Source organism: Homo sapiens, chromosome 18, assembly GCF_000001405.40.
Source record: "Homo sapiens chromosome 18, GRCh38.p14 Primary Assembly".
In the NCBI taxonomy this organism is placed as follows: Eukaryota; Metazoa; Chordata; class Mammalia; order Primates; family Hominidae; genus Homo; species Homo sapiens.
In genome coordinates this window covers 58,319,882-58,340,781 of record NC_000018.10, presented here as the reverse complement: position 1 = coordinate 58,340,781, position 20,900 = coordinate 58,319,882, and the positions used below count along the sequence as shown (strand labels likewise).

At 42.6% G+C, this 20,900-nt stretch overlaps 1 protein-coding gene across 50 annotated transcripts in view; it reads right to left on the bottom strand.

Annotated features, from left to right (window-relative positions):
* The window catches only part of NEDD4L (NEDD4 like E3 ubiquitin protein ligase), a 357,315-nt gene that overhangs the window by 60,759 nt on the left and 275,656 nt on the right, over nucleotides 1-20,900 (bottom strand). For 26 of the 50 annotated variants that reach the window (XM_047437407.1, XM_047437408.1, XM_017025678.3 and 23 more), the window contains 6 exons: nucleotides 18,296-18,357; nucleotides 17,448-17,550; nucleotides 15,620-15,786; nucleotides 11,655-11,787; nucleotides 9,868-10,044; nucleotides 6,890-6,964 (listed from right to left, as the gene is read on the bottom strand). In XM_047437407.1, the coding sequence (XP_047293363.1) occupies nucleotides 6,890-6,964; nucleotides 9,868-10,044; nucleotides 11,655-11,787; nucleotides 15,620-15,786; nucleotides 17,448-17,550; nucleotides 18,296-18,357 (717 nt within the window). Of the gene's footprint in view, nucleotides 1-5,244; nucleotides 5,305-6,889; nucleotides 6,965-9,867; nucleotides 10,045-11,654; nucleotides 11,788-15,619; nucleotides 15,787-17,447; nucleotides 17,551-18,295; nucleotides 18,358-20,900 lie in introns of all 50 variants that reach the window. The other 24 variants (XM_006722426.5, XM_047437406.1, XM_006722428.5 and 21 more) reach the window with 1 other exon arrangement.

Below are 20,900 nucleotides of genomic sequence, written 5' to 3'. Positions count from 1 at the left end.
GTAAAGGGTTGCTGCCAAGGTGATCACAGGGAAAGGGAAAAACATTATCATCTGTTCTAGCTACTAAATTCCACTGCCAAACCAGGTAGAGCTTAAAGGTATTTCAAACTGTCCAGTGTCACTGTGTATGAGAGGGATGCTCTGAGTTTCTCCTCGATGTAGCTCCCATGGGGTGCTCTTCTAGCTTAGGCCTACATTCCTCCATCAGCTTAGGACCCTAACACTGTAGCTTCTGGGGCAAAATTTTAAAATCCCAACACAGAGCCCCTTCTCTAGGATACTGATGGTCACACAGTAGCATATAATCTGGAGGACCACCCAGGACATCTGTGTGCCCCAGCTCAGGAAGTCTCCCAGCACCCAGCCTCACACCCCAGGCTATGTGCACCCAAGTCTGCTGATAGGAGTGTGTTTCTTTGAAGGTGAACACAGCTTGGCAGTTTTTGGGTTTAGAGACCTGCCCCGCATAGAGTGACTGTATTTAGACAGTCCACATTTGATCACAAGAAGATCCCTGAGAAGCAGTCTAAGAAATGCAGTGTGGATGGAGAAACACTGAAAAACAAGGATGTGTTGATGATGTATGGAGGCACTGGGACAGATGCTGGAGATCAGGGCTGTCCCAGGAGGGCTTGAATGCATAGGCGATGCATGTAATATCTGTGCCTGTGAAAGAGCTCTAAGTGGGGAAAAGCTCAGAAACCAGAAGCCGACCACAGCTATACCACGGCTCCTAGGGGAATCTAAAGGTATAGGAGGAGCCCATGCCTTAGGAATAACCTCTCACGTGAGGTTACAAAAGGAAGCTGCTTCTTTTACTTCCAGATATTTTAGCAGTTGTCGTTTTCTTGCTATTAGGCTGAGGATACAAATTTCCTCTGAACCTAACTTCTTCCTGTGCTTATGCCACCTTTTCCCTGCACTACCAGCAATGTGTCTTGGTGAAGGTGGTCACCTGGAGTTCCCTGGTGGACTCCAGGATCTCAAATTAGAGAAAGCACCAACAAGGATGCTGCCGGGTAATTTGAAAACCCCATCCACAGAGAAGCAGTATGTTAACCTCCCAGGCTTAAAAGCACAATTCAGAGAAAGATCACCTGGGTAAGATCATGAAGCAGCTGATTTTAGATTATGTGTAAGAAAACTTTCTGCTGATATTAAGGAAAACCATTTCCTTAATATTTCCCGAGATAAAGTCCTAAAGCTCCCTAAAGATAGTTTATAAAGACACAAAGACTCGGATCATGGAGCATTCTGGATCCAGGTGTGGAGACTCAGCAGGAGCAGAAGAAACATCAACACTGACTTAATCCTTTCATGAATATTAAACATCGATGAATTAGCATGCAGCCTGAGTGAAGCTCCTTCCTCCCCTCCTCCTCTAGCAGCGATGCCAACACAAAGAGCTACGTGGATCCGGGCACTTCAATGGACTCCCCTGCTGAGCTAAGTTGTAACCTAAGTTCCTGGTCAATTAGTATCTCTGGCAAAGTATGTGCTATCAAGTTTTGACCTACTATTGTTTATACAATCAATGAAATACTAAATGGAATGTGTTACATTCTCAGCTCCCTCCGCCCAGAGCCCTCCCCTTCAGCCGTTCTGGTGATCCACTTCCCCCTCTCCCAGGCCCCTTCCCTCCCATAACTCCCCACTCCCCCTGGCCCCGCCCCTGGAAAACTCAGCTCCGGAAACCTTAGCTCTGGAAACCTTAAGGATATTTTTGCAGTTACTCAATCTCTGGAAAGGACACTTGGGAGGCAACTGATCAACTGAAAGCACATGGATGTGTCATAGATCATGTCAGAACTGAATCCTAAAGCTGTATGAATTCTAGCAACCAGGTTACTTTGTTTTTTCCTTTTTGAGACAGAGTATTGCTCTGTCGCCCAGGCTGGAGTACAGTGGCACAATCTTGGCTCACTGCAACCTCCGCCTCCCATGTTCAAGTGATTCTCCTGCCTTAGCCTCCTGAGTAGCTGGGATTATACGCAAGCGCCACCATGCCCAGCTAATTTTTGTATTTTTAGTAGAGGCAGGGTTTCACCACGTTGGTCAGGCTGGTCTCGAACTGCTGACTTCAATTGATCCACCCGCTTCAGCCTCCCAAAGTGCTGGGATTACCAGTGTGAGCCACTGCACCTGGCCATACAGGTTACTTTCATACAGCCACAGTGAATAGCACTAATCAGTTTGTGGAAAATTAGGAGTGTAGTACAGAACGCTGAATTTGATTAAAATGCTCATTCTCTCTTCTATTGAGAACTGAACTGGCAACCTGTAATTTAGTTACATTTATGTGAGAGGGCAATTTGGAAATGTTTCTTTACAGTGTTCTCTCCAAATGACCACATAGAACAACTTGTGCTGATGATTCCATTTGTAACTCACACTGCCTCCCACCCTGCACGGCTAGTTGAGGGGGCAGGACTCAGCTTCTACAGACAGGCCATGGAAGGGCCCGCCAGGAAGCCAAAACCAGCCTTCTGCTGTTCTGTGCTTGTGAGCATGTTCCACCCTAGCTTAACAAAAAAGTAATCAAACCAGTTAGAAATGGCGACTTAGTTTAACATTTCACAGCTTTTCATCATAGACTGAATACACTACTGCTTTGTGATGCCCAAAAGCCATTAGCTAGAACTTCCTAGTGGCTCTGTTTCTTTCATTAAAATAAAGAACACGATTGTAAACTGCAGAAGTTTCAATATGCTTTTAAAAATAACCACTTTGACACTGACCATCACAGATTTGCCAAGACTTGCACCAACCCAGTAATGGTGGCTCGTGTATTTTTAGAATATATACAACAAAGACTGAAAGGACTGTGCTATCCCTCTCCTTTTATCTCATGGGGAGGGCCCTGGCTTAGTCTGCCAGAAAGTGACACCACTGTGCGTTTATTTGCCATAAATCAAAGGGCTGTGGTTTCTTGGCTGAGAATCAGGGCCTGTTTATTAGACTACAGGAATGAAAGCACTATCATAGAAAGAAAGCTATATCAGGACGGTTACTTCAGCACAGCGTATGGAGTTGAAAGGGCAGGGTAGGGGGAGCAGAAAGTCCTTGAATGTCGGGAAATTAACACTGTAGTGCCTTTACGTCAGTGAATATTATGTAATTATTAACATGTCCCAGAAGAATGAACATAAGTTAAAAAAAAACCAAGTTGCTAAGTAATGTATACATGACATCCCATTTAAAAAAAATAAAATAAAGTGGCACAATGTGTACCTATGTGTACACAGCCGTATGTCTGTGAGAGCACAGGGGCAGTGAGATGATATAATACCATGATGGCTCCAGCCCAGGACAATACACTTCAGTGTGAGTGATGTGCAGAGGAACAGAGGGGATGCCAAAGAGGGAAACACGGGGTGAAGAGACAGAATTGCAAGACAGGAAGTCAAGGGCATTCACGACAAAGGATGTGGAAGAGAAACATGCAGGATACAGCAGAAGAGAAATGGATGTGATCCTTTCAAACCTAAGTAGGTAGGGAGATCTATCTACATCTACCAAAGTAGATGAAACACTTAGGAATGAATATTGCCAAGCCTGTGGAAAGAAAACACCCAACCCATGCTGAAACTCAGTGACGGGGAGGGGAGAGTGCAGGCAAGAAGGCAAGAAAATGGCAGTCTAACGTGCCACCCGGGATCTCATTCAGAGGGGTCACCTTGTCCTGCCAGGTGACCCTTGCCATGGAGCCTGGTACTGCAATGATTCCATTCCTACTTCATTTACTACATCAGCTACCACAACACTCCAAAGCTACACGCAGGTTGCAAGGCCAACAAAATACAAAAATAGGTGATATACAGATGATGTTCATCAGCACTGAATTCAACTAAAATTATCTCACAAAACGATCTTGTCCCCCTCAAAGCTCCACTACTCCCACAGAAATTACAAGTGCACGGTGGGTAATAGTTCATGTAGAATTTCTTGAATTCTACTGGAGGCTGCCTCACTCAACACATGACTCATGTAAACCACTGTAGCTCAATATCTTAACCTGAGCTGAGTGTTCTGGGGCTGACTGTTGCCAGTTTGATTTTCCTCTGTACAATGCTGAGCATTAAATTGAAGTCATCAACATCTTTAGAAAATCAGCAATTGTATACGTAAAGTTATCCACAAGTAATGAGCAGTTATAGCAAAATACAACACAGGTGAAACAATAAGGAAATTCTTTTTTTTTTTTTGAGATGGAGTCTCGCTCTGTCGCCCAGGGTGGAGAGCAGTGGTGCGATCTCAGCTCACCACAACCTCTGCCTCCCGGGTTCACGCCATTCTCCTGCCTCAGCCTCCCGAGTAGCTGGGACTACAGGTGCTCACCACCACGCCCGGCTAATTTTTTGTACTTTTAGTAGAGACGGGGTTTCACTGTGTTAGCCAGGATGGTCTCGATCTCCTGACCTCATGATCCACCTGCCTCAGCCTCCCAAGGTGCTGGGATTACAGGCGTGAGCCACCGTGCCCGGCCAGGAAATTCTTTAAACAGCTATTGCAGTGCGAAGCATAAACTATAAGCTAGCCTAACTTTAGGGATCAAGTAGAAAACAGGCAATTAAAATACAAATCTAAGTCACCCACAGACAGGAATACCATACATTCTTTAAAATAATGAATAAGAATGGTTGGCTTAGAGAAACATAAATTTTTCTAGATCACTTATATATCCTAATTATGTTCCCTTGGAATTACGGAAACTTGTTCATTGTGTGAGGAGAGCCCCTGGTGGCAGAGAAAGGGTCATGGTGCATTCTGGGGACAAGAAAAGTCTAACCCCCTGTGAAAAATGTGGTAGGGGAGATACAGAAAAGAGAAGGGCCCTGGGCACATCCAGGAATCACACACACAGTCTCATGCAATTCCTGTGGCTTCTTTGATGATCTTCCAACCAAATTACTTTAACCAAGCATTCTAATGAAATGGAAAAACTTATCAGGAGTACAAACACTAAAAGTCAAAAATATCTTCTAAATGGTCAAGTTAAATGCACTTAACCAAAGCCTGATAGTATTCCTAATAAAATTATGTGGGACTAAAAAAATCATTCTATTTTACCCAGTACCTTTAAACAATCCCCAAATGAGAAGCTTAAAATAAGAAACGTGTGCAGCTCTGTAGCACAAAGGAGCTAATCTTATTTTTAAAAACAGCGTATATTCACCACTACACGAAATATTAAAACTGCCTCACGGCCTCTTGCTATTGATGTCTGATAAAGTGGATCATTACCGTTGGTTCCTCACCACCCGTGACAGTTGATGAACGCGCTCTCCCAGCTGGGGCACTGGGCTGTGAATGATAATTTACATCAGTGAAATGCACTTAGGGGATGACCCCCTGCTGTCTGAATCAGGGCCCACTGCTGTGGCAGCGCTGTAAGGCAGGTGACGTGAGATCAGAATCCCTGAAACCCACCCTATCCAGACAAAGCCAGCAGTCGCTGATGACCAGTAGCACAAAGGAAGCGTGACCCCTATGCCCCCCAAGGTGGCTCATCCTTGACCTGGGTAAACAATGACAACCTCAAAAGAGTGAGCTGCCTTAGAGAAAAATGGAAAGCTGGTCTGGTTTTGCCTGCCATTGTCAAATAATTAGCAGATTCTGAAATCTCCCCACACTCAAAACTCAAGAGGCCACTGGTGATCAGTGAGTTTACAGCATCAGAAAGTACAAAGAAAGAGGGAGGAATCACCAGTTTCCAGGAAAGTGAGTTCTTTGGGAAATAAAATTGACATTGATTTTGAAAAGGAGAGAAAGTGCCATTCGTTCAAGGAAAATCACAGATCATGAGGTTGAGAAGGATCCTACCAGTCCATCTCAGTTGATTATTTTGTTTTTGGGAGCCCTGTACTGAAACCATCCCAGAAAAGACGCTCTTATCAAGCTTATTATTAAGTCTCTCCAGTGTAAGTCACAAATGACTCTATTATTTTGACTGCTTCCTTGACTAGTATACTCATTAATTTTTTCTCAAACATAAAAAATTAAAACCTAGGCCAAAATATCCTTTGAAGTCAAGAAAAAACATACATGAGAGGGAAGACACTGTGATTTCAAAAACCTTAAATGCACTTTTCCCCCTTCAAATTCATACGTAATACATTATTAGTCTTAAAAATGATCAAGGTTTTGTAGCAACAGACAAAAACTGTCAAGGTAAAATATCAAATTGAACACATTAAAACCACATATTTTCACCTCCAAAAGAAGAAACAAATTTATGTAAAATTTCTTATTTTTAATGTGTACATCAAACATCTCTCAGGGCAGTTCTAGTCTGCCTTCCAACTTGAATATTTCTTTTTACATACATCAGATGTTACAAAATCCCCTACACCTCTACATTTGCTGATAGCTATTAAAATGATGAGAGAGTTGGAAAGAATTATAGCCAATTCCTGGTGAGCAGAGCTGCCTTTAAAGAGAAGGTACAGAGGCTCTGTAGAGTTCAGACTTCAGGTCATTAGGAAGGGAAAGGAACATGTGGACGGTCGCCCAGAAGAGTTCTTCCTGGTTAAAGGGACTCAATGTGTTTTCAAAGTACAGATCACTGGAGCATAACTATAGTAACTCAATAAGGTAAAAGGAATTACTAACTAATGTACCAAGAGGTTTAAGTGAGCAAATCAAAATTGGTATAAATTTGGGTGAAAAACTAAAGCAATGGAGGTTCCAGCATTTTAGAGATGGGTGGCAGTAACAATTCTCTGTATTGGAAATCCACTTTCCTAGGGCAATTGGCCAGGAAATTTAAAAACATCTCATTTATATTGTAAATAAATTTACACAGGAAAAACTCTTTTTGCAGCAGCCCAGATGATTGTAAATGAAAGCCCAAAAAGTCAACTGATGACTGGAAATTAGCATGGGTTACCGGTGGTAGATGGCCCTGTTCTGCAACTGCGTCGGTGACACTGCATGACCTCAACCTTGAGGAGGGTTCTCTTTGCTGGAAGGAGAGGAAAAGACAGGAAGCATCAAGAAATATATTCTTAAAAGCAACTTTCATTGGTTTAACAAACATATCACTCAACCATATTCACCGCTCTTCGATATTAGAAGGTAATTAAATGAAACATCTTTTCAGAGCAAGGACAGTCATCCTTGAAAAAGTTATCTTTCACTTTAATTTTCAGTTAAGCAGACTGGAATTTTGATTGGTCCTTAGAATTAGTGGCAAAAGTAAGAGGAGACCAAAACTTTCAGAAAGGAGACTCAACAGGACTCTGCAACACTCTAATGCTGCTTTACAAACAGAAAGAAGCTAGCAGTCTTGTAGTTTGCTCTAAGATGCACCCTCAGGGTAAATTTTAATGTGATGTGAATAGACGGAAGAAATAGTGATATGTGGCTACCCAACATTTATTGATTACTACAATTGAAAAAGAGTCAGTTGCATCCTATATTCAGAGGAGCTCAGACATCATCTTGGCCTACTTCTGAAAGATCTGGTATTTATAATTTTAGCTGCTTTTTTTTTTTTTTTTTAAATATAGAGTCTTGTTCTATTGCTCAGGCTGGAGTGCAGTGGCATGATCTCAGTTCACTGCAACCTCTGCCTCCCAGGTTCCAGTGATTCTCCTGTCTCAGCCTCCTGAGTAGCTGGGACTACAAGCCCCCCCCACCACACTTGGCTAATTTTTTGTATTTTTAGTAGAGATGGGGTTTCACCATATTGGTCAGGCTGGTCTCGACCTCCTGACCTCAGATGATTCACCCACCTCGGCCTCCCAAAGTACTGGGATTACAGGTGTGAGCCTCCATGCTCAGCCAATTTTAGCTTCTAAGTGGACTTCAAGTAGTAAAGACAGGAATGATTAAAAATAGTGAGATCAAGCTAAAAAAAAAGATCTACTGTGTAGTGTCTTAATATTCCTCTAACTTGTTTGTATTAGTCTATGTGGTTAAATGAAGCCTAATTGATATGAATGAAGATTAGCAGCAGGTCACACACAGAAGCCAGAGTCTCCTTATCGGCAAGTTCATCCATAGTATCAGTTTCTAGTATTTACTCATTTTTAATATTTTGTGATAAGTAAATGGTACAAGAAGACTCTGTGGTAGGGATGGGGGACAATTCACATCTTCCCACATTGGTTACTGTGAAAGAATCAGTCTTTAATAAAAGTGTCACTCTGTTGCTCAGGCTGGAGTGCAGTGGCGCAATCGTGGCTCACTGCAACCTCTGCCTCCTGGGTTCAAGAAATTTTTGGGCCTTGGCCTCCTGAGTAACTGGAACTACAGGTGCACCCCACCACACCCGGCTAAGTTTTGCATTTTTAGTAGAGACGGGGTTTCACCATGTTGGCCAGGCTGGTCTTGAACTCCTGACCTCAGGTGATCCGCCTGCTTCAGCCTCTCAAAGTGCTGGGATTATAAGCATTAGCCACCGTGCCCAGCCAAAGCTCATGTTCTTCCCCTTGAATACAGGGTAATCCCAATGAGCAAATATCCGATTTGACTCTCATTTAACAGTGAACACGATGTGAAATAATACAACATTGTATTTGGGTCTTAATGATATTTCACAGATCTAGAATAATTAAATTCAGGAGCTCCTCATTTAAATAATTAGAATTGCTAACTTATGATTATTGCTGAAAAAAATTACAGTGTTTACTTGGTTTACTAAAGGTGTGTTACTGCCATGGATTCTGTGGTACCTCCTTGCTTTTATAGGTTTTAAATACAAGGCTTCATTGTTTATGTTGTTTCTATAACAACAGTTTTATCAGTTCAAATATCCCATATATATGCAATTTCTTTTATCCTGTCCATTTAGTACTACATTTTCATCTTGGCGACACATCTCTTTTTGAAAAAGTCACAGAATTTCAAAGTGAAATCACATTAACTGAATGATAAATGCAACTCATGTAATAGAGGCGTATACTGTCTTTTAAAATAAAAACACCATAACCAAAAAGTAACAATTTTGTGAGTACTTACTTGCTTTTACATTGTATGCAGTGCTATCATTTATGTTTGTTATGGTCATAGTAATGACTATTTTTTTTTAGGATGCCATTTTCAGTGGAGTGACTATCATCATTTACTATTGTACATTTTTAAGTTCAGTTTCTTGAGAAACACTGAGACTTCATTTGCTCTTAATTCTATGCACAAGCAGGGATTTTCTATGGGTTATTTCTGCACAGTTTTGTATTGTCAAACATGGAAGTCTTTGTGACTGATTCCATTGGGCTCAGGCATTGGGCCCATCTGAAGCTTCTAGAAAGTATGTTTCTGATGGTTGAGAGCCCAAGTTAAAATGCTACCTTGATGACAGTGTCACAATTTCACAACATTTCTCAAGGGTTCATACTCTGGGACTTAGGAGACGTCTTCTATCTCCCACTCAAACCTTGTCTTGGATGAGCCACTTAAGCATTGTGCCCTTATCAGCGAAATGAGAATGATAAATCCTGCAGAATATGACTTAAGAGGACTGATTAGGCCTGATGGCTTTTAATTGTTACTGTGAAATACTACCTTTGTGATAAAGGTACTATTTTCATGAGCCTTTTGGCTGGGAAAGGAATTCTACAAGGTTAAAGCTAATAATTACAGACATCATGGAGTTTTACTTCTTTGAGTTCTTTATAAACCAAGAAAGTGTTAGTGGTATAAGGGTGAGCAAAGCTGCCTTCCAAATCAAGAAAGATTCTCACCTGCTTGGGCTAATTTTAGTACAGTCCTGCTTCTCCTAGGGAAGGAGGAACTTTGGAAAATGTCAGAGTTAGCTGGGAGCTGGAAGACCCTTGGTCACTATTTACGTAAGAGATTCTCCTTAAGCAACAAAAAACAATAAAACATTGCTCAGCTTTTCTTTCAAACAAGGCCACTACTTACAATCAAAGAGCTGAACTGTTCCCCATTGGAGTCTGGAGTGATCTGAAGCCTTCTGCTTAGTTCCTCTGACAGCTCCTGAGGGCTGGTCCGAGATCCTGGGGAGGCCGGTGGTGGGGGCAGAGCCAGACCGAGAGAGTCTCCAGCGATATTCACTTCCTCTGAAATGGTCTCCCAAGGCTTTCAGAGAAGGAGACACTGGGGTAAACACTAGAAAGAAGTAGGGATCCACCCAGCTCCCCAATGAAACCATGTAACAACAATAGCCCCGGTGATAACTATAATTAACACCTACTAAGTGCCTCTCATGAGGCACACAACCTTCACAATAATCACGAGGAAGATAACTCCCCCAATTAACAGATGAGGAAACTGAGGCACAGAAAATAACCTGCCCAAGGTAACATCTAGCAAGTGGTAGGGCCATGATGTGAATCAAAGAGGCCTGGTTCCAGACAGAGGCTGTGCTCTTAACCACTTTATAACAATGCCTCTCTGAACAGTGACTGATTTCCAGCACTTGTTACTATATGTGTGGGCAAAAAAACAAACACACACACACACTTCTCTGGAGTTTATAAACAATTGTCATGGATTTTCTTTTACTTTTAACCACTGAGGATTCACCGTGGGAGCAGCATAGAAGCTATACGCTGTAATTAAACAATGGTATAAAATAACTTAGAGTGAATGTGTTATGGAATCATTACTTTTGCTTTTCCAAGTTGAATCGCCGCATTCTAAATGATCTTCCTAACACAATGTCTAAGAAGAATGGATTTTTAGTACATAAACAGAGCTGGTAAGATAGCATGGAAGATTATGGCTAATTTGTTGTTTAATTCATAACGTTTTAAGTAACATACCATAACTATTTAAAGGGAAAATTACACATTTCTGTTCACCTAAATTTATATTTTCATGGTAATAAATCTCTTCCAAGTGTCAAAGCGACTCAATAAAAATATGCATATGATACCCAAACAAGTTACAGGGCTCATTCAACAGCTCAACTATGATAAAAACAAGCTGTCATTTAATGAGACATGGTTAGACCCCTGTGAAAAATAAATTACAAACTAAAAATATCTTAAGATTTTCATACTGAAAAATAATGTGGGCTGGACACAGTGGCTCACGCCTGTAATCTAAGCACTTTGGGAGGCCAAGGCAGGTGGATCATGAGGTCAAGAGTTCAAGACCAGCCTGGCCAACATGGTGAAACCCGTCTCTACTAGGAAAAAAAAAAAAAAAAAAAATTAGCCATTGTGATGGCATGCACCTATAACCCCAGCACTTTAGGAGGCTGAGGCAGCAGGCGGATCTCGAGGTCAGGAGATTGAGACCATCCTAGCCAACATGGTGAAACCCCATTTCTACTAAAAATACAAAAACTGGCCGGGTGTGGTGATGCGTGCCTGTAATCCCAGCTACTCAGGAGGCTGAGGCAGGAGAATTGCTCGAACCCAGGAGGCGGAGGTTGCAGTGAGCCAAGACTGCACCACTGCACTCTAGCCTGGGCGACAGAGCAAGACACTGTCTTCAAAAAAAATAAAAATAAAAATAATGTTATTCCCATTTCTATAATATAGAGCCACCTATACTTGTCAAATACGGCTTTTATAGGCACTTTCAAATTAATATTCAGATGGTAATTAATTCCCTGCGTCACTGTAATCTTTACATTCTCAACAATGTTTACTGACAGAAGAAATTATGATATAAAATCAAGCTGGAGAACATGGGAAGAAGGAGCTGCCGGGCTTTGCACCATTCTGGGGACATCGTACCTCGGGGACATCCCCGCCCTCCGAGGGCTCGGGCTCCAAGTCTTCGCTGATGTGCCTGCGGGAGCGGAAGCGCCGGTGTGCTGCCTCCTGGTTGATCTGTCTGATGTTATTGTCCGACTCCGAGGACACGTCCCTGAGCATGCAGGAAAGGGGGAAAGAGAAGAAGAGAAGTGGTTGAGATCGGGCCCTTCATGACAGTTCAATGCTCACGGAGGGCCAGATGGCCACTAAAGTGTCAGCGTCAAACACTGACAACTAGCTGGTCATCCAATGTGAGAATTCTCCCACCATATTACGGCTAAAGTATAGGTTAAGGTTCATTTCAATCAAATAAATGCAGTTTTAAAATGCATTAGTCACACCATTTTGAGCATCTTTCAGGCATACATTTCAAAATATACCTCAGTGTTTAATAAAAAACAGAAATCAAAGTCCTCTGCCCATTTGCCACAGTGACAAGTCAGACCTCTGGAAGCAGAGGTGACAGGCAAGTTCACACAGCAGCTGGGCAGTCCCAATCCTTCTAGAAGTCCAGCAATGACAAGGCAGCTACTTCTGGTCACCAGCAATTTGACCAAAGACTACAAAAGGGACAAATTCAAAGCTGTCATCTGGAGGAAAGTACACCTGATCCAACATGAATTTTTTTCAGCTGCTTTCTAGCTCATTTTAACAGAATCTCAAAATCGTGACACTGCATTTACCTCCTTTACCCTACTTTAAAAATCCTAATAACATCAGGAGATAACCTCTCAAGTCAGCCGGGGTCTGAAGAACACCAAAACATCATACCCTATTTTTTGTCATGTGATGTTCTCAATTCAGGATCTAAAAGTTTTGATTCAATTTGGAAGACTTTTTTGGGCTGGGCATGGTGGCTCATGCCTGTAATCCCAGCACTTTGGGAGGCCAAGGCGGGCGGATCACTTGAGGTCAGGAGCTCAAGACGTACCTGGCCAACATGGCAAAACCCCGCCTCTACTAAAAACACAAAAATTAGCCGAGTGTGGTGATGCGTGCCTGTAGTCCCAGCTACTCAGGAGGCTGAGGCAGGAGAATCACTTGAGCCCAGGAGGCAGAGGTTGCAGTGAGCTGAGAGATCATGTCACTGTACTCTAGCCAGGGCAGCAGAGTGAGACTCCATCTCAAAACAAAACAAAACAAAAAAAAAAAGAAAAAAGAAAACTTTTTTTTTTGCAGTAAATTATAGGCAATCATACTTTGGGGGAAATACTAGTCAGAGGCTTTTAGTGTACAAGTTTAAATGCCAAAAATTTTTTCAGGGAAAACTCTCACAGATACTTTCAATAAGATAACATATCCCATTAACAAAAATTATGTCACAAGTCAGTATCTCAAAAGTTGAAATCGTCATTTCAGACTAACTGAAATATAGTACTTATCAAGAACACTCATTATAGACTCTTTCTAAAACACAAATTTTAAAGTTTTCTCACACATTCTGAAATGAACTTATACTGTATCCCAATAAAGGGCCTGCTAGCAGAGGTTGTGGTGGAAACTCTTTTTCCTTAACTAACTTTCCTCTTGCCTTCTAGAAGTTATGCCCATTGGAAGGAGGCGCTCCTCAGGTTCTGCCAAGTTCTGCTGTGTCCTTCCTGGCTCAGCCTCTCCCTTTGGCATTGCTGCCTCCTTGATGGGGCAGTTATGCCTCTGCCTTCTCCCAAAACTACATGTGAGCCCGAACTTGGATTAAGAACTGCATTTTTCAGCCGGGCGTGGTGGGTCATACCTGTAATCCTAGCACTTTGGGAGGCTGAGGTGGGCGGATCACCTGAGGTCAGGAGTTTGAAACCAGCTTGACCAAGCCAGTGAAACCCCATCTTCACAAAAATACAAACATTAGCTGGGCATGGCGGCGGGCGCCTGTAATCCCAGCTACTCAGGAGGCCAAGGCAGGAGAATCGCTTGAACCTGGGAGGCGGAGGTTGCAGTGAGCCGAGATGGTGCCACTGTGGGTGACAGAGTGAGACTCTGTCTCAAACAACAACAGAAAAAGAACTGCATTTTTCCCTTGTTGCTCTAGACTAGTGAAGAGCCAGCAAGTTATACCTTTTGTTTTAGTTTCTGGGACACTGCCACCAAAGATGGTTTCTCTTTTAAATCACTTTATTGAGGTCTAATCAACACATTAAAAAGCTGTTCATGTTTAACGTACACCTCTTGATGAGTGTGGGGACATGTCTACACCTGTGGAGCCATCAAAAAAATAGTATATATTTTAAAATGTATGAAGTGTTTTCTCAAGAATTCCCTCGTTAGTTTCACAACTCTGTGAGGCAGAGAAAGTAGCAATTATCCCTATTTGTCCCCAAAATACAAACTCTAATCTGCATGATCCTTATTTATGAAGTTGAATATTTTTCCATATACATATTAGCTATCAGGATTTTTTCCTTTGTGAGTTGCTCCTGGCCACTTTTCTGCAGAGGTCGCATGAGGATCTACCTTTTCAGTACTCCTTTCTCATGCTGTTGAGCAAAGGTAGGTAATGGTGCTTTGCTTAGGATATTGCTACCAAGATTCTTCTAGTCACTACATGTAACCAAGCCCAAGGTGGGTCCAAATTCATTTTTACTACAAATAGCTACAATGGATTACAATAATTCTAATAGCTATGGGCATTAATCAAAAGGAAATAGTAAGCAATAATATAAAAAACAAAAAGAATCAACCAAGCTATTTCCATGGGAAAAAACTTTAACAAAAGATAGTTCAGCATTACCCAGCTGATCTGATATTTTTGCTGTCCTGAGACCATTTTGCTGTCCTGAGCTAATGCCCGTGCTGGGTAGTCTAAAGCTGATCACGAACAGCTGACATTCACGAGAACCCACCTGGGGGCTCAGAGAAGACAGGCTATTCGTTGTTCCAGATTCTGCAAGCTTTATCTCTAAATTAAACAAAACCTAGACCAGAAAACTTGGCCACCCTCCCCACCCACAGTCATATGTGGAGTATCTTTACAATTTCTAAAGATAAAAGGTTTTTAAGAACATGATACCTCATACTGCTTGTTGTCTAAAATGTATCATTAGCCACTTTCTTTCAGAGTTCGAGTAGACAAGAAAATTATACTACCCAGTAGACTTGCTTTTATTACATACTGAAAGTTGTATAGTTCATTGATAATTTCCTCCTTGTCTTGGCTGCTAGGCAGCTCATAATTTCTAGGATAAAATTCCTTTTCCTTAAGACTTTCTTTTTGCCCTTCGATGTATTATCAATAGACTTAGATCTTGCTGTATAAAATGATTTAAAAACAAGCTGCTACAAAACCATTTTTAAAGTCCATGAGTTTTAACCAGTGTTTATTTGCTATCAATCAAACCACAAATTGCTGAGGGAACAAAACAGGAATTGGTTTACTGCATCCCTGAGGCTGGTGAGGGATTAAAATACACAGTAATTACTAATTCTGATTTTGCAACTCTCCCATGTGTTTCTGATTATATTAAGGGGCTCAAATTTCCTTAAAGAAAAAAAAATTTTTGAGGTTTCCAAATCAATGCATTGAAGAGAGTAAACATCCAAAAACTTAGAGAAAACAGAAAATTGCAAAGCCAATTTGCTTGCCGGTTCTGTTCTGGGTCAGTTGGGAGAGAAAGGTGAAGAAGAAAACAATATAATCAACAAATGTAAAATAAGTCTAAGAAAAACAACCTCTGCTTTGTATTTCAGGAATCGACATAAAAGAAGACATAGAAAATAAATCAGCTCATATTGAAAACAGCAGCATGTGACTCAAAGGCAATCGCTTACAATATACAAGTTCTGACTGCTCTTGCATGCTTTACGTAAATGGAGAGGAATCTCGTACCACACCACCATCTGCTCTTATAGACATATGATTTATTTCCCAGCCTTGTCCCAAAGGGCCGCCATATTTGTCCCTAGCTGTGCAGTGCACGTGCACGTGTTCCTGACCATCACACGGTACTCACATCAGGCTTGGTCTGTGCCACTGAGTGGTCCGGTTGTTGTGGTTGACATAGTAAGTTCGGCCTAAATTGTCCACTTTTTCTTCCCACCCGGGAGGCAGAGGAGGAGGAGGAAGTTCCTCTTGGTGCTGAGAAGCCGAGTCATTTGAGTCAACAACTTCCCATCCATGCTGCGGAATAAAGTTAAAGGGACGATTATGAGGTTGGTTCTTCGGCTGTGAGTAAGAGGTCATCACAGCATGCCCTGCATGCCCTTCTCCTTGCTCTGGGGCTCTCTGGCTCTAGCCATGGCTTCGGGGCCACATTTGAGTAAATTCCCAAATGAAGGCCAAAAAAATATATATATATCAATTCTAGAAAGGCCTCAAAAATCTTCTGAGTAATGGCCAATTAATTGTGCTGCCCTCTAAGATGACTACATTGCAGGACAACACAATTTGGATCTGCACAGTCGGTGACACTACTTAAGTCACATCATACTCTTTCCATACGTCATGTTTGTTATTTTGACTGGAGGGCCTCCAAGGCTGTACAAAGCCCTGCCAATGATGTGCGTCACAGTACAGCTGCCATCTTTTCAACACCTCTATGAGGTAAAGGGAGCAGGGAAGATGAGCTGCGCTGCACCTGTGTTCTAACAGAACTCATGGCACAGGGGACCAGAGGCCCAGAGTCCTGTTGCTCCCCAGGGAGGTGGGCTTTGAGAGAGAAGCCTCCTCTTTGCATCCCAAACAACCGCAGGAGCCAGGAGTCTGGAAGCTGCTGCCTTCTACTCAGGCCCTCTACACTGGCTGTGTCCACACCAACGGGTTTCATGGTACCAAAATTCGAGTTCCATTTTTACAGCACGTATTTTAGGCATTACGTATTCCCTTCCTAACATCCTCTGCTAAAATCACTGGAAAATTAAGTAATTCACTGGTTACTGCGGTTGGAAGGCAAGAAGAGTGTAAAAAATTCCTTGGATTTGAGATGAAAATCTGTTGACATGCTTATGAAATGTTAACATTCATAAATTTCTATCACCCACATTATTCCTCTTCATGTATATAGAGAGATGAAGGCTTGTAAATGAAATAATGCCTGGAAATATGATCTCTCAGGCGGAGGAGTGTTCGGGTAACTTCTCCACACACATTATTCACATATCACATATATGCAACAGCTGCAAACAGATGTGAGAATAAGCCCTAGAGAGGTCTCGTTTAATGGACACTTTGAGAATATGAGAATTTGCCTAACAAAACAGCACTGGCCGAGGTGTGTGCTGAAAAGGTACGATAGGACCCACAGCATCAGTCTGTGACAAGGTAAATACAGGCGGCTCTGTCAGGAAGGAAAAAAGGGACATTCCTCTGGTCAGCTCGTTGCAGAATGGCATTTCTAGAGGAGGGTTTTTCTACTGCAGGCTGTCACCTGTGGCCAAATGAGTAAGAAACTTGAAAAAAAAGTGATTTTCTAAATTCCTCCACCCACTTTGAAGCGACCTCAATGGCTAAAAAGAATTTACAAAGAGTTGCAAGTCCATAGCAATAATAGGATTCAATGTGTGAGGAGACTTTCACAGAGCTGTGGGGCTAAAATTGGGGAATAGGCATGGCATTGTCTAAAGAGAAATCTCTCCGAGGATTGGTGTTGTAACATAAAAAGTTCATCTTTAACCAAAACAAATAACTGCACTGGTAGACTATCAATGACCAATTTGCGGACATATGTACTTTTTTTTATATTTAAGCTTTCTAAACTTTTATTTCCTTCAATTATAAAGTTTGAAAGCAAAACATGAATATGATCTCAAGGCAAGGAGAGAGGCCTGACGCCCTCCACGTACCTCCATGTCATCCCTCTGGTCACTGTTTTCTTCATCTTGACCTCCATTTTTTGGCATATAGGCCATTTTCAATCGCAAAAATCCCTTAACTCGAGACTTATGACTGCACACATAATGGAAGAAAATTGGTTAGAAGGGTTGTGACTTCAAAGGACACTTAAAATCGTCTTCAGCAAAAGCCAACCACCACAGCACGCAGGGCAGGCATCCCCACCCACCCATACCCACAGCACACAGGGCAGGCATCCCCACCCACCCATACCCACAGCACACAGGGCAGGCATCCCCACCCACCCATACCCACAGCACACAGGGCAGGCATCCCCACCTATACCCACAGCACGCAGGGCAGGCATCCCCACCCACCCACACCCACGGCACGCAGGGCAGGCATCCCCACCCACCCATACCCACAGCATGCAGGGCAGGCATCCCCACCCACCCACACCCACGGCACGCAGGGCAGGCATCCCCACCCACCCATATCCACAGCACGCAAGGCAGGCATCCCCACCTATACCCACAGCATGCAAGGCAGGCCTCCCCACCCACCCATATCCACAGCACGCAAGGCAGGCATCCCCACCTACACCCACAGCATGCAAGGCAGGCATCCCCACCCACCCATATCCACAGCACGCAAGGCAGGCATCCCCACCTATACCCACAGCACGCAGGGCAGGCATCCCCACAGCATGCAGGGCAGGCATCCCCACCCACCCACACCACAGCAAGCAAGGCAGACATCCCCACCCACCCATATCCACAGCACGCAGGGCAGGCATCCCCACCTATACCTACAGCATGCAGGGCAGGCATCCCCACCCACCCATACCCACAAGCCTCACCTTCTTGGTCTGAGGAGAAAGTCCTTAAATGTATAGGGTCGCTCCATGGTTGGATCTTCTGTCTGTGGGGAAAAAACAGTAAATTAAATTTTAATATTCCTAATAATTTCATGTTTTAGATACAGGCAACTGGATTACAGAGAATATATTTTGAATTTTAGAATGTGGCACCGCTGAATGTGTTTCTTCACTTGGTACCTGACAGTCCACGGAACTGATCTACTAGAGATCCACTAGATGTCACTATCCACACCGGGTTTTAGGAGCCAGCCCCAGCCACAGACAAATGACAAAATTACAGCTGTCATTGCCAAGTAAAATTTCTAACTGCAGGGTGTGGCCTCAGTCTCACAGAGCTGATTCACTTCGGAGAACCAGCGGTCACCAGTGCCTTGCTATATGCCTGTGACTCGAGACACATATGGGTGGAGTAAACAGAAGAATATACAAGATTTAATCTTTGAGGGAAACTTTGTTTTTTGTATTAAAATCTCACAACATCAGCCTAAGAGAATTGAAAGACTATCTCCTGCACAGAGATCACCCCAGGAAGCAGCACCGATCAACCTTCTGCTGAGGTTCAGTTCATGAAGCTATGAGTACAAGTGGAGTATTTGTTCATTTTTAAAGAAATCAGTGTTCATTTGATTGTGTGAAGTTCATTGTGAAGTTCCTACCAAAGCAGGAAATTGGATAAATAAGTGTGACTATTTCATTAATCTTTAAATACTATATATTCAGTAAAACCTCAAATACCTAGACCCTTCAATTAAACACAATTTCAAATACTTTTATAGCAAGAGATAAACCAGTCCAGTGATTTACTGTATCAGGTTTGTGTGCGCGTGCATGCACACACATGTATGTACGTATGCACTGCTATTTGAAATGTTATCTGTTTATGTCATTCTCTGCTTTAAACTCTCAATGGGTTCCTACTCCTCTCATAATAAACTGAAAATTCTTTCCTATGACTTAGAAGACCAACTATAATCTGGCCTTGAATCAACTTTAACCTCATTGGGAACCAGTCTCTCTCTTCCTTCCTTGTACTCCCAACCATCCTGTCCTCATCTGCCATGGATGCAGATTATATGTACTGCAGTAGGGCCCATGCACAGGCAGGTCCCTCTGCTGGACAGCTGACTCTGGATGGCATGGCTGTTTCCACTTTGCCATCCAAGTGTGAGATCCCAGGTCTCATCCTTTAGAGTTCCCACCATCAGCCACCCTTATCACCCCCCATCCTATCGTCCTGCTGTATCTTCCTCATATCACTTTCTGAAAGTACCTGTTCATTTGTTGACATACTAGTTTATTATCCATCACTTCCAGAATGTAAGCCCATGAGAACAGAGACTTGAATTTGCTCACCATTGGATCACCGGTGCCAAGAACATTGCCTGGCACCAAGTAGGTACTCACGTAAGCACTCAATTCATCTGATCTGTAGTAAACTATGGAGGCTCTCAAAATTCACTATCATTGAATGAAGTAAATTATATTTTCTAGACTGTTCTTATGAGGCAGTAATAAACATACATTTTGAAAATATTTTCTACCAAAAGGTTTGTAAATATATATAAGGAAATAAATGGATAATTTATTAAGAAAACTATTGCTGGTTTTCCTTCCTTTTTTCATTTATTAAACCAACATTTATTTATTTAATTTAGAGACAGGGTCTTCTGCTGTCCAGGCTGGAGTATAGGGGCACAATCATAGCTCACTGCAGCCTCAACTTCCTGGGCTCAAGTGATCCTCCCACCTCAGCCTCCCAAGTAGCTGGGACCACAGGTGTGTGCCACTATGCCTGGCTAATATTTTTATTTTTTATAGACATGGGGGTCTTCCTATGTTGCCCAGGCTGGTCTCAAACTCCTGAGCTCAAGACGTCCTCCTGCCTTGGCCTCCCAAAGTGCTGGGATTACAGGTATAAGCCACCATGCCCTGCCAACCAACAAATAATTTGAGAGCAATATTATGTCAACGACATGTGGATACAACATGGTATAGCAGTCCTTATGGTTACAATTACAAGGGAAGAGCCATCATGTCAACAATCCACTAGAAGCTAAGGCAGAACAAATTCACTGACACAGAGAGGTTACATTCTGTGAGACTTGGGGTACAGGGAACAGACGGACTCTGACTTGGAAATCAAAATGGTTTTGGATGTGGAGTTCAATACAATACAGGGTGATGGGAAGGCTTTGAGAGGTAGAGAACAGGGAGAAAGGACAGTTTAAACATAGGAAATCAAACAGTATGACAAAGCCTACAGGATCACCAGTGGGCATGAGCAATCTAGGAGCAGCAGAGAACATGCAAGAGAGTGAAGAGGGAAAACCACGGAGCTTAGAGGGACTCTGAACCTGAGTCTGTCCATACCCTATGCAGCTTAAATGACTGATATCACACAGGTCAAAAGGCAGATCTCCTAGGTTTGCATCCTGGCTTTGTTACTTACAGAGCCAAGTGGCTAAGGGCAAGTTCCTTATCTCTCTTGGCCTCAGTGTCCTCATCTATAAAATGGGGCAGTAACCATAACTTACAGGGCTGTTGTGAGGATCAAACCAATCAACTGAGTTGGTTTCTATAAAGT